The sequence below is a fragment of the Homo sapiens genome, chromosome 18, assembly GCF_000001405.40.
Source record: "Homo sapiens chromosome 18, GRCh38.p14 Primary Assembly".
In the NCBI taxonomy this organism is placed as follows: Eukaryota; Metazoa; Chordata; class Mammalia; order Primates; family Hominidae; genus Homo; species Homo sapiens.
This window is the reverse complement of record NC_000018.10, coordinates 59,748,533-59,763,044: the sequence shown is the minus strand read 5'-3', so window position 1 is coordinate 59,763,044 and position 14,512 is coordinate 59,748,533. Positions and strand designations below refer to the sequence as shown.

Below are 14,512 nucleotides of genomic sequence, written 5' to 3'. Positions count from 1 at the left end.
TGGGGAGATAATGATTTCCATTTGGCGCAAATTGATGTTGAAGTTCTTTAGGGACATTCAGATAGAGACTTTTTGGATTTTTTTGGATAGAAGAGCTTAAAATTTAAATGATAATTCTGGGTTAGATAAGGATATATGCAAGTCATCAGTAAGAAGGTGTATTAGGTCATGCTATAGAGAAATACGTGAGGGTGGGTAATTTATAAGAAGAGAGGTTTAATTGGCTCATAGTTCTGCATGGGGATGGTGCTCACCCATTCATGAGAAATCCACCCCCATGATGTAATCACTCTCACCAGGCCCCACCTTCAATACTGGTTATTACAACTCAACATGAGATTTGGGCAGGGACACACATCCAAACTATATCAGGAGGAAACAGTAAGGAGACCATGTAGGAAGAGCAAAGGATGGTGGACCCAGGATCACTAAGAGAGTGATTTGTAGAGGAGATTTGACTGTTTCCTAGGGTTTTGTTTTGTTTTGCTGCTCCTCAATTTCTAGGATTAAAAAAATTTAAGCAAAACTCCAAATTCTTCTCTTTTAGTTTTTAAATAGACTCCTTTTTTGAATCAATTTTAAATTCACAGCAAGATTGAGCAGAAAGTACAGAGAGTTCCCATATTCCCCCTGCCCCAACACATGCACAGCCTCCCACGTTGTCAATTCCCCACCAGAGTGGTACATTTATTACAATTGACAAACCCACATTAACACATCATTATCACCCAGAATCCACTGTTTCCATTAGGGTTCACTCTTGGTGCTGGATAATGTATGGGTTTGGACAATCTATGGGTATGATACCTATCCATCATTACAGCATCATCCAGAATAGCTTTGCTGCCCTAAAACTCCTCCGAGCGCAATCCTCCGCTTTTTAGAAATGTATGCAACTTATTCTGATCTCCAACATTCGAATCTCAGCCTACATGAAATTGGAACAATGAGATAATGTTGAGTAGAAAGCTAAGCTAGAGGTGGGGTTGCTCCAAAAACTATAAATTACCCTCAAAGGTCTAAGAGATTTATAGCACTTCGCTAAGAACTGTCTTCCTCTTTTTTTTTTTTTAAGTACAATTTCCATTTTATTTTTCTCCAGAGAATAGTCCATCTTCAGTCTTTAAGGACTCAGCTCCTTACATGGGCTTTGGTGGGGGTTGTAGAGCAGCACCCGCAGGTCTCAATCGGGGTGGGGGTGTTTGGTCCTTGCGGGCTACACAAGATTGATTCCTGACTACTTTGCTGTGAACTGCACAACTCAAAAAGTAATGTAGCTTCACATACAGCTTGGGAAGCACATAGGCATCGAAGACGCTTGCTTCAGAAATGTCCCTGACTGCTGCGGCCTCCACTATGTTGTGAATGATGAATTTCTTAATGGCCTTGTCCTTGGGTATGCATCGGGCACAGTTCCTGCAGCGAATAGGCTGCATGTGGCCACGGCCCTTTTTAGCACGACCATTGTTCCCTCTTTTCTTTGTCATCTTAGAGGCACGGACCGGAGAGAGGACTGCCTTCCTCTTTAACACCCACAGACTGCAAACAGGCTAGAACTAGCCTCCCCACCATAGAAATGGATCATCCCAGCTCATGATCCAATAAATCCTGACAGCTGAATGTAGTAAGATAGTGCCATGGAGTTACTAGGCAAAGTCACACATACGCTGTATGTACTACATTCAAGTATGGTATATGTAACCTCGAGAGAGAAAACAGTTAATCACTTAAAAATGGGAGGCATTGCCATTGTCAGAGTTGGGAATCATTGCCTATATGGTGTGACCTCTATTGAAGGAATCAGAAAAATATAACTCACTAATGATGATGAATTTCTTGACAGGGTCTACATTTTTCTCCAGAACAAGCGTTAAATATGCATAGGCATATGGGCATTTTGTTAAAAGCTTAGGAGTCTGTGTCATAAATCAAAATAGAGACAAGTTTAATCTGAAAATAATTAATGGCAAATGTTACTAGTTAGTCATTAAGATGATGAAAAGATCATAGGGCCCCTGTAGACTGTCTCATTTTGACTGAAATCACTCAAAACATACTCTATGATTCTGCTGAGACAATGGTTTTTCATCTTGGCTGCTCATTAGCATCATGAGGGACGCTTCTAAAAACAGTACTTCCCGGATGTCATGCATAAAGTTCTGATTTAATTGGACTGAGTGGGGCCTGGGCATCTGGCTATCTTAAAAGTTCCTTCCAGCGATTCTACATGTAGCCAAGGCTGAGATTTGCAGTATGAGTTGGCTTGACCTCTGCTCCCAATAGCTGACTGTGGTGACCCGCTGGATGGAGTTTGGTGGTCTATTCTGACGTCAACATCCACTGGCAAAAGTGACCAAGTAACAAGGATACAATAACATGATTTTTGCTGAATGAATGTTAAGTAAATGAACCTTCTCACATTGCAGATAAGAAACAGAGGCTGAAAGAGGAGAGGGCCCTCACTCAGGGTCAGTTGATTAGATGAGAGGCAGAAATGAGAGTGCTTCCAGGTCCTGAAGCAAGTAGTCCAATACAGACCAGACTTAGTTCTTTGTCTTTGTCTTTAAATAGGCTTCTATACCAAATCCCATGAATCACCTCACCTGGTATGCTTCCAACAGCCATAACATATTAGCACTACCCGGAACGCGAGAGCAGGGCCTCCCCATCCACTGGTTCCCTGAGTTTGTCTTAGCAGCCTGTTTCACGCAGAGCTGGCTGGGGGAGGGAAGGATCAGGATAGACCAGGATTTGGGTGCTCTACCCCTGTTTCAATCACAGCAACTCTAGTTTTACCTGTTTTATATTTTGGTCTTCCATAGAAACAATTTTTATTTATTTATTTATTTAATTTTGAGACAAGGCCTCACTCTGTTGCCCAGGCCGGAGTGCAGTGGCACAACCAGGGCTCACTGCAGCCTCTACCTCCTGGGCTCAGTGGATCCTCCCACCTCAGCCTCCTGAGTAGCTGGGTCTACAGTCATATGCCACCACACCTAGTGTATGTTTTGTAGAGACAAGGCTTCACCATGTTGCCCAGGCTGGTCTCAAAGTCCTGGGCTCAAGCAATCCTCCCACCTTGGCCTCCCAAAGATCTGGGATTACCAGTGTGAGCCACCACACCCAGCCTATTTATTTTTTAGAAATGGGGTCTTGCTCTGTCATCTAGACTGCAGTGAAGTGGTGCAAACACAGCTCACTGCAGCCTCGAACTCCTGGGCCTGAGTGAGCCTCCTGACTCACCCACCTAAGTAGCCGGGATTGCAAGTGTGAACCACAGTGGCCGGGAGCAAAAAAAATAAATTTTTTTCAAGGACCAAATAAGGAAGGAATATGAAGGAAACTGTTCAATGCTAAGAAACAGAAAAGCAGTAGTAAAAGTAATAAAGTGATTTAGTCCAATTAATTCTCTAATGTTAACATCTTTTATAAGACATAAACAAGACTGAAAAGTTAAAAGATAAATCCAAAGCCATAGTAGATGATGGTCCATTCAAAAGTAGCCTCTCACTCTGTCCCCACATTTTCATGCATTTTTCCTCCATCTCTATTTTCACAGTTGTAATCACTGGCCATAGAATGCCCAAACTTCCAGAACAAGTAACAATACTGAACATCCTGTATTACTCCTGATTTTATTAAAAACGCCTACAGTATTTGAATGTTAAGGCTCTTTGTTGTTGAGAAGGATCTTTTTGATGATGTTAAGGAAAACAATCTGTTACAGGGAAGTCTAATGGAATTAATGGAAGAATTTTAAGCCTCTAAAAAAAATCATATGCTTTATCTTATTTCAGCTATAGGTGTGAAATATTGGTAGATTTTCAATTGTCAGTCCTTCTTGTATTTGCAGGTAAATATTTCTTGGTTATTTTGGCTTATGCTTTTAATGCGCTCTTTTAAATTTATTTTGAAAGCATTTTGGATGCACAGGAAGTTGCAAAGATAGTACAAAGAGGTCCCAAGTTCTCTTCACCCAGTTTCCCACCGTGGTCACATCTGATGTAACTACAGCACATCCAAATCAGGAAATCGGCACTGGCACAACTGTGTGTGTGTGTGTGTGTGTGTGTGTGTAGTTTTTTCTGCCTGTCTCTAGTTATTGGTAATTTTTGTGGCAAAATATAAAATATATCATTTTAACCATTTTTATTGCATAATTCAGTGGCACTAAATATTTTCACAATGTTGTATAACCACCACCAGTATCCATTTCCAGAACTTTTCATTATTCCAAACAGAAGCTCTATACCCATTAAACAATAAGCTCCCCGTCCCCATTTTTCCCTCCACTCAGGCCCAGGAAGCCACTATTCTATGTCTCTATGAATTTGTTTATTCTAGGTCTCTTAATGTACTCTTGATTTTAATTTACAGCTTTGCATGAATGTTTCTATTTGTATAATTTTATCATTTTGATGCTTTACCAGATATTTTCAGAGAATATGTAGTTTCACAAATTTCCATCCTTTTCTATTTTCTGGAACAATATATATTACACTGGAATTGGCTGTTGTTTGAAATTTTAAAAGAAACACCATGACAATATCATCTGGCCTAAAAACTTTTTAAAGTATTCTCTTAAAGATTTACTGGGGATGACCCACACTTTAGTTAACTCCCCCTTGGCGTTTATGATGAGAGAAGTTGGACAGAACTGCACATAGAATCATAGAAACCTTAAAAGCATTAGAAGGTCAGGGCTTGAAGGGACCTCCACGATCTCCCAATCTTATCTCCTTATTTACTGACAAGGACTCTGTCCCCCAGAGAGGACAAGGAACTTTTTCCAACCTTGAGCCAAGACAAACATCCAGCTCCTGACTCTCCTCCAATAAAAGGATGCACCACTTGAACTCCCATCTTTCTTGGAGGTGAATCAATATAATCAGACTGATGTAAGAGGAAGATAGTGTTAGAGGCTTTTCCAAAATGTTGTTGAGGATTTGCAGTTGTATTTCCTTCTAAGAACTCTTCTCTAAAGCTCAAGATTATCTGAATTTCCCTTCCCTGGGTGAGGAGAAGGTTGGAGGCTGGCCCGGGTGAGAGCTGGTGGAGGGAGTGCCTGTGACCCAGGACTCGGGAGGATGCTGAGGACCTGGTGGGGAGCATCGTCAGTATGTGGGCTGCATGCCAAGCAGGACGCATGTTCAAGAAAGGCCAAGGCAGCCATGGAAGGCCAGCAAGGTGTAAACAGCAATAAATAAGAATGTAAATTAGTACAACTTTATGAAAAACAGCATGGAGCTTTCTCAAATAACTAAAAATAAAACTACCATTTGACCCAGCAATCCCACTACTGGGTATATGCCCAAAGGGAAAGAAATCATTGTATCCAAAAGATACCTGCACGCGTATGTTTATCACAGCACTATTCACACTAGCAAAGATATGGAATCAACCTAAATGTCCATCAGTGGAGGACTGGATAAAGAACACGTGGTATATAAACAAAATGGAACAGCATTCATCCAGAAAAAAGAATGAAATCATGTCTTTTGCAGCAACATGGATGGAGGTGGAAGCGATTATCCTAAGTGAAATAACTCAGAAACAGAAAACCAAATACCACATGTTCTCACTTATAAGTAGGAGCTAAACAAAGGGTACACATGGACATATAGAGTGGAATGAGACATTGGAGACTACAACAGGTAGGAAGGTGAGAAGGGCGTTAGGGTTGAAAAACTACCTATTGGATACAGCATTCACTGTTTGGGTGATAGGGACACAAAATGCCCAGACCTCACCACTATGTAACATGTGTGTTTGAAACTTGCACCTATACCCCTAAATATATACAAATTACAAACAAGATGACAAAAAATAAATAAGTAAATCAATAGTGAGAGGGACAGGAGCAACCTAGAGAAATAGGACAGGCTGTCAGCTGGTGGATTTTAGGTGCCATCACATTGTGGTCCTTGAGAGCAATCACCTAACACAGTCACCCGATCATTTTTCTTTTTCTTTTCTTTTTTGTTTTTTTGAGATGGAGTCTCACTCTGTTGCCCAGGCTGGAGTGCAGTGGTGCAATCTCGGCTCACTGCAACCTCCACCTCCTGGGTTCAAGTGGTTCTCCTGACTCAGCCTCCCCAGTAGCTGGGATTACAGGCATGTGCTGCCACACCCAGCTAATTTTTGTATTTTTATTAGAGACGGGGTTTCACCATGCTGGCCAGGCTTGTCTCCAACCCCTGACCTCAGGTGATCTGCCCGCCTCAGCCTCCCAAAGTGCTGGGATTACAGGTGTGAGCCACAGTGCCCAGCCCTTGTTTTTCTAGAATGAAAACTGGGGCAGGATCACACCAAGGGTCCCTCTCTTCATATAGCTTCCTTCCCTTTCCTTCTCAGCACTCGGTGTGAATTGGTTGGAAGCCTAGTTTGTTTTCAACAAGTACGTTGCACTCTGTGGACTTGAGTTTGTGTTTCCTTGTACAGTAGATTCCAAGTATCTTTGGGACTGAACTCTTCATTCTCTTGAGAAAAAGATTGGACTTGCCTTGTCAGAGTGGCTGGGAGGCTATGATTTTAAGTGTGGTCCCATGAGCGATCACTAAGCAACAGGCTCTGGGGTCAGGGATACCATCTGGATCTCAAATGGGGGAACACTGTGTGGGTGTTAATAGTCTCTGAGGATTAACTCCAGAGAATCATTGAATTTCTTCAGGGCATATGCTATTGACAAAAGCGTATTTTGACTGATTTTTTCCCCCGTTAAAGAAATGAAGATGCTTACATTTACATAGCATGTTAGAACTTACTTATTTTCACATCCCTATCCCCACAATAGTCCCGTGACTTACAGTCTAGATGTTAACATCCTCATGATACAGATTAGAAAAGGTAAGGATACAACTAATAAAACTCAAAGCTAGGACTAGAATCTAGATTTTCAAAGCCATTTCAGTAAAATGAAGTAGAGTATAAAGTAGATGAAAAATAAAAATTAGTGGGGCATGGTGGTGTGTGCCTGTAGTTCCAGCTACTCGTGAGGCTGAGGCACGAGAATCGCTTGAACTCGGGAGGCAGACGTTGCAGTGAGCTGAGATCACACCACTGCACTCCAGCCTGTTTTTTGAGACTGTCTCAAAAAACAAAAAATAAAGCAGATGAAAAATAATTTAAAATTCCAATGAAGTAGAAAATAATAGTATGGCTAAGCAAGGCTCCTAATTTTTTTTTTTTTTTTTTTGAGACATAGTTTCGCTCTTGTCGCCTAGGCTGGAGTGCAATGGCGTGATCTTGGCTCACTGCAACCTCAACCTCCCGAGTTTAAGCGATTCTCCTGCCTCAGCCTCCTGCGTAGCTGGGATCACAGGTGTGTGCCACCGTGCCCAGCAAAGTTTTGTATTTAGTAGAAATGGATTTTCACTACGTTGACCAGGTTGGTCTCAAACTCCTGACCTCAGGTGATCCACCTGCCTTGGCCTCCCAAAGTTCTAGGATTACAGGTGTGAGCCACCACACCCAGCCTTCTTCTTCTTTTTTTTGTTTTTTGTTTTTTGTTTTTTTTTTTTGAGACAGGGTCTTACTCTGACACCCAGGCTGGAGTGCAGTGGTGTGACCTCAGCTCACTGCAGCCTCAACCACTGAGCTCAGTGATCCTCCCACCTCAGACTCCTTGGAGCTGGGACTACAGGCACACACCACCACACCCGGCTAATTTTTTGTAGAGGCGAGATTTCACCATGTTGCCCAGGCTGGTCTTGAACTCCTGGGCTCAAGTGATCCACCTGCCTCGGCCTCCCAAAGTGCTGGGATTATAGGCATGAGCCACTGCGCCCAGGTTGAAAGGAGTTTTAAGCAGGTATGTGAGCTGGTGGCCACAGGTTGGATTTCCTGATAGGCAGGAATTCAGGAAGAGGCAGCATCCCCAAAATCCTCATCAGTAATTACAGTCTGAGAGCCACGGACTCTGGGTCGCCCTGGCCCAAGAGTGGAGACATTTTAGGAATAAATGGGCTGTACTTGTTGGGCTGCTTTCAGCTGACTTTTCCCTAACGAACAAAACCCAGAGCAAACTAGCAGTTCTTCCCTCTTCCTGCCCCACTGATTTGATTTCAGCCACATAAAATGCACCACGCACCATTTCTTGTTTGATCTGTGGCCTTCGTTCTTTGAGACAAGGCCTCGCTCTGTTGACCAGGCTGAGTGCAGCAGTGTGACTGGTGCTCACTGCAGCCGCAACCTTCCAGGCTCAGGGGATCCTCTCGCCTCAGCCTCCCGAGTAGCTGGGACTACAGGCCCGTGCCACAACGCCTAGCTAATTTTTGTATTTTTTTTAGAAACGGGGTTTTGCCATGTTTCCCAGGCTGGTCTCAAACTCCTGGGCTCAAGTGATCCTCCCACTTCAGCCTCCCAAAGTGCTGGGATTACAGGCGTGAGCCACCATGCCTAGCCTAGTAGCCTTTCTTCTTTCAGATCATGAAGATATCAATAAATCAACAGGAAATAATATGCATTGAGCATATCAAAGTGCTTTTTTTATGAAACTGAAGTTCCTAACCCTGGCGGCACATTGGCATCACCTGGGAATTCTCAGCAACTCCAGAGGTCCAGTACCAACCACGGGACAATTAAATGAGAACTGCAGGGAGCGAGGCTTCAGGCATCCGGGTATTTTAAAAGGTCCCCCAGTGATTCAAATAAGCAGCAAGGCTGCAAACTACTCAGCTGGGGCTTTCTTGGCCATTGGCCGGGTCTTGGCCCTGTGCTTTTACTGGGAAATGTGGAGCTAAGCAGCTGGGGCTGCTGGGGCCACTGTCCTATCCCTGGGAACTCTCATGTGCTCCCATTCCCACTCCCATAAATAGGGGGTGTATTAGTCCGTTTTCATGCTGCTAATAAAGATATACCCCAGACTGGGCAATTTACAAAAGAAAGAGGTTTAAATGGACTTACAATTCCACGTGGCTGGGGAGGCCTCACAATCATGGCGGAAGGTGAAAGGCGCGTCTCACATGGCAGCAGACAAGAGAAGAGAGCTTGTGCAGTTAAACTCCCCTTTATAAAACCACCGGATGTCGTTGAGACTTATTCACTATCATGAGAACAGCACAAGAAAGACCTCCCCCCCGCCATGATTAAATTACCTCCCACCAGGTCCCTCCCACAACACGTGGGAATTCAAGATGAGATTTGGACACAGCCAAACCATATCAAGGAGTCTGCAGGAGCAGATGGTGGGGTACCATACGGGAGAGCCTTCCCTCACTAATCGCCCAGGGCTCCCTTTCACCACCCAGGGGTGGGCTCAGAGAAACCCCAGTGAAGGTGTGTGGAGCATCATCAGGCCTATCTCACAAGCCACGTGCCTGATCTCTGCAGCTGAGAGCAACCCGAGATAGGCAGATGGATCAGAAGGAGCAGTCAAAGGCCAAAACTCAGCAACTGACTTTATTTCCTTCTTGGAAGATGTGGATTTACTCCCTTCTCACGCAGGTAGCCCAATTCATTTATCATTATTTCTAAAACAGGCCAAAGGGAGAAATGTCACATTCCCGATTTATAGACTTGGAATTAAATATAAAACTGGTTAGCCTTACAAAGGAAGATGCTGTTCTCTTAGCCGCCGCTGGTAATGATTTATACAGGAGACATTATACCTAAATATAAACAAGGAGAATAATAACAAAGGATAGTTTATTTAGCTGACTCTGATTCTTTATCAGAAATTATTAGAATCTTGACTGTTTATTTGCTTTCATAATGTAATTTGTGCTTTTCTTTATTTGTTACATGTCCTTAAGGCCATATTGTTTCTAGCCTTTTATGACCCTTAAGGAGGACAGAAAGTTATGAGACTAGCATTTTCCAAAATGTGTTCCAGTAGATGTTGTTGGGGGGGGAAAAAAAGAAAAATTATGTGGTCAAATACATTTGGGAAACATTAGATTCAATAAATTTAAACAGGTTCTTTTGCTACCTAACTTTTCAAATCTATAATATGCCACATGTATTACAAATCTTCAGGAGTGGCCTGTAGCATTCAGTGCTTGCAAAACTTATTTTTCTGTAAAACTCATTTTTAAAGGACCAGCTTATGGGACAAAGAGGCTAAGTGCCAACAGAACATATTTTAAGAAAAGCAAAATTAGACTAAAAGAAGCAACAAAGCCTATTACTTTAGTTTGCTGAACATTAGTGAGCTTAAGTTGACAGACTTCAGCTGTAACATATTTAAATATGGTATATTAAAGAATGTGTTGATTTCAAAATGCAGTAGAAGACTAGGATGTACTGCCAACAAAGAAGTGTCAGTTGCTTACTAATGAGCTAAAAGAATTGCATTGGTCATACTGATTCAAAACCGTTTTGAGTTTTCCTGTGAGTATAATAAAGCTGCACTATTGGTTTAAACTTATAAAAATATTGAAGACACAAAATTCAATAAATTTATTGACCTGGATTTCAAACTTCAATAAAGGGATTTGAGCAGGAATATAATCAATAACTGAAGTAAAAATTTCTGTACTAAGAGAATAATCATGCTGCCATCCAAAAAATCGTCCTGAAAGGCTGGGTACAGCAGCTCAGGCCTGTAATTCCAGCACTTTGGGAGGCTGAGGTGGGAGAATCACTGGAGGCCAGGGGTTCAAGACCAGCTTGGGCAACATAGTGACACCCTATCTCTACAAATATGAAAAAATTTAGATGGGCATGGTGACTGCACCACTGCCCTCTAGCCTGGGTTACAGAATGAGACCCTGGAAGGACTTTTGTTTAAAACAAAAATAGTCCTTAAAGATCACAACAGGTAGAATATGTTAGTCGTGATTCTCCAGAGAAACGAACAATAGCATATGTAATGAGAGGACGAGGTGGGAAATGCAGAGAGAGAGAGATGGAGACAGAGAGACACAGAAAAATACTGATTTTAAAGAACTATCTCACACAACTGTACAGGCTGACAAATCCACAATCTGCAGGGTAGTCTGGTAGGCTGGAGATCCAGGGAAGACTTGATGTTGTAGCTTGGGTCCAAAGACAGTCTGCTGATGGAATTTTCTCTGTTTGAGGGGAGGTCAGTCTTTTTCCTATTAAGGTCTTCAACTGATAGGATGAGACCCACCCATATAATGGAAGGTAATCTACTTTACTCAAAGTCTGCTGATACAAATGTTAATCTCATCTAAAAAATAGCTTCTCAGGAATATCTAGACTAGTGTTTGACCAAATATCTGGGTACTGTGGCCTAGCCAAGTTGGCACATAAAATTAACTGTTAGAATGACTTACAGTGTAAACAGCCAAAATTACGTAAGCTTAAAATTATCTGCATCAACATCCTATTGGGACTCTAAAATATCTTAAAAATTAAGAATAAATCAATTAGTGAAAATATTCTATGAATCAGCCAACTATTCTATTGCAATCATTTAGACCAAGGGTTGACAAAATATGACCTATGGGCCAACTCCGGCCCTGTTTTCATATGGCCCATGAGCTAAGAATGGTTTTTGCATATTTTAAATGGGAAAAATCAAGAGTAGTATAATATTTCATGACCCATGGAAATTATATGAAACTCAAATTTCAGTGTCCATCAAAAGTTTTATTGGAATATGGACAGCTATACTTATTTGTTTATGAGTTGTCTGTGGTTGTTTTGGACTATATTGGCAGGGTTAAACAGTTGCAACAAAGACCATAAGGGCCCCAAGGCCTAAAATATTTACCATTTGTCCCTTTGAAGAAAAGGTTTGCTGACTCATGATTCAAATAAAGCAACTGATAGAATAAATTTTTACTATGCTACTAAATTGAAATGGCATCCTATTATAGCCTGAAGAAGACATTTGTGTAGGATGACAGTAGTTTTAGTAGGTTATTTGCAACAGCAAAGGATGGTATCTACCTTCTGTAGAATAAGCTTCCACATACTCTTTTAATGATATAAACTCTATGCTTTTCCTTTGGGTAGAGTAGGAAAGAGTCTCCCCCTCCTCTGTTAACAACCTGAAAACAAATATAATCATCACATCAGATCTGAAGCATATTCTAATGTATTCAAGAATATCTGAAAACATTCAATTCACTTAGAAAGTATTTGAGAAGTTACAATTTCAAAGTGGTGTGCTGGAATGTGCTAGAATCTTGCTGACAGTCATCTCAAGAACGTGATTGCAATGAGTGAAGTTCCCTCTCATGGGTCACTGCACAATGGACCCCTGAGAAGAACCTTCAAATTTCTTAAAAGACAGAGCATTTCCCCTAAACCTGGGTGCTAAAGGCTTGTGGAGAAATGGGCAGCCTTCTGGGATAGTTTAAAGCTTAGAAGAATTTCTGAAACTGGGGTGTACTAGCTATGAAGTTTCTCTTTTGTAGTGATAATTAGCATTGAAAGACATTATTGGAGAACAGTAATATTTTATGTCAGTGATTTTCAAGGTGAGTCCAGATAACTATAAGGAATTGATCATAGTCTCAGCAATTTACAAGAGTCTTTTGTTCAGTCATTAAAAGGAATCTGTGTTACTTTTGTTTAACATACTGGCTCAGATGGTTGCATCTTTGGGACAGGACCAACTGAATACATTTGAAGTGTTTGAGATAAAAGAACTTCTCCCAGTAAATCAACTTTCTTAGAGCACGTTTCTCCACCTGTGGCAATGGACCCTGATCCAGAAAGTAAGCTCCTTGCCCTTTCTTAAAGAGACAATGCATGGAAAGTGTTTAGCTCAGGGCCTGACCCATATTGAATGCTCATTAAAAATTAATAAGGATTGTAATCTATTTTATTAATAAAATTATGTATTTGAAACAAGTGTGGGGGTGTGTGCGTGTGAAAAATTATTATTATTTATTGTCTGTAACAAGTGTAGTTCCTAGTTTCATTCTCTAAAGCAAGAATATAGAGAAAGGGACAAGGGCACTCAGAACTAGAACAGGATGTCCTCAATGACCTATTCTCATGCCTAGTGATAAGGGGATGTGGTACGATGTAAACAAATGCCACAGCAGATGCAGTAATTGAGGAAGCAAAGGGAACTGGAGAACCACTGAGCTGGGAGTTGGGAGACATGACTTCCAGTCCTGGGTCTCCTACTCACTGTAACCATGAGCAAGTCACCTTCTATCACTGGGCCTCATTTTTCTCATTTATAAAATAAAGGATTTGTACAAGATGACTTCTCTGATCTATTCTAGCCACGAAACTCTGATATACTGAGAGGTGATCACAAGAGCAGAGAGTGGTTACATTCCCATGTTTATTCAAACAGGGAGATACGTAATAAGATATATTGGAAACTGTCTATTGGAAACTGTCCAATATATCTTATTACTATTAGGTTGGTGCAAAAGTAATTACAGTTTTTGCCATAGAAAGTAATGGCAAAAACTGATTTCTTTTGCACCAACCTAATATATGATTATTGTCTGGGACACGGTAATAATCATAAAAGCTAATAGTTGAGTGCTTCCTAGGTGCCAGGCACTGTGTGAAGGACTTTATACAATTCACTTATACAAAGGTTACAACTACCCTAGGAAGAAATCTTATCCATGTTTTCCAGATAAGGAAACTGAGGCACAGTAACTTGAATAAGTGTCAAACTGCTGGGATTACAGGCGTGAGCCACCACGCCTGGCCTTAAGTATCTTGTCTATACAACTCATAAATGATAAAGATAGATGAGTGGATGTTCAAAAATTATTTGTTGAATGAATGAGTGAATGAATGAATAGGTAAAAGAGAAAACCAGGCTTTTATTGGCCCAGATATTTTCTTCCAGTCTAGGTGGGCAATGTGAACAATCAGGATAGTTACAGCTTGAGTGTCCTTTATCCTTCTTGGCCACCTGAGAAAGCAGGTTCTTCTCAGGTCAAGCAAAACCTTCTCTTGAGCTGGGTCTCCTAGACTCTGAGTCATAAGTCTATCAGAACTGCAGCCATTATAGGATGGCTCTATTATTACGACTCAATTCTTTCAGGAGTTATGACACAAAGATTGTTTTCTTTTTTGAGTATCTTAAAAGTGCCAGGTGGCATTTACTTATTTCTTAAAATGAATTATTTATTTTGCTTTGAGCAATTTGTGATTCAAGAAATTCTAAAGTTTATCATTTCTTTCTAAACCTTTTTGTGTTCAGATACTCCAGAAAGAATGATTTCCTTGTTATATCACTTGTAGCTAAAAATAAGTTTGAACTGGCCATGCTGAATATTCAATTATGTATGAGCATTTTTTCAAATTCCAGTCTCCTTATTGGTGGCCGATGGCAATAGCACTTACTTGATGTGGTCATCATAGAAGGGAGGTGAGTCACAAATAGACTGTCTTATGGAAGAAATGACTAACATTACAATATGTACCAGTGCCCAGGAAAGAGGGAAAGAGAGAGAGATGAAAGAAAAGAAAGAAAGGAGGGAGTAAAGAAGGAAAAAGGAAAGAAGGAAGGAGGGGGTAGTGAGGGGACTCAAACCCTCAAGCAGGTAACTGTGAGACTCTCTTGTCCCAAGTTCTTAACCAACTGACATTCCCAGAAAGCCTTTTTGGCTCAGCCCTT

The 14,512-nt window shown here is 41.2% G+C and overlaps 1 pseudogene; it reads right to left on the bottom strand.

Annotated features, from left to right (window-relative positions):
- On the bottom strand, positions 1,071–1,513 carry RPS26P54 (ribosomal protein S26 pseudogene 54; annotated as a pseudogene).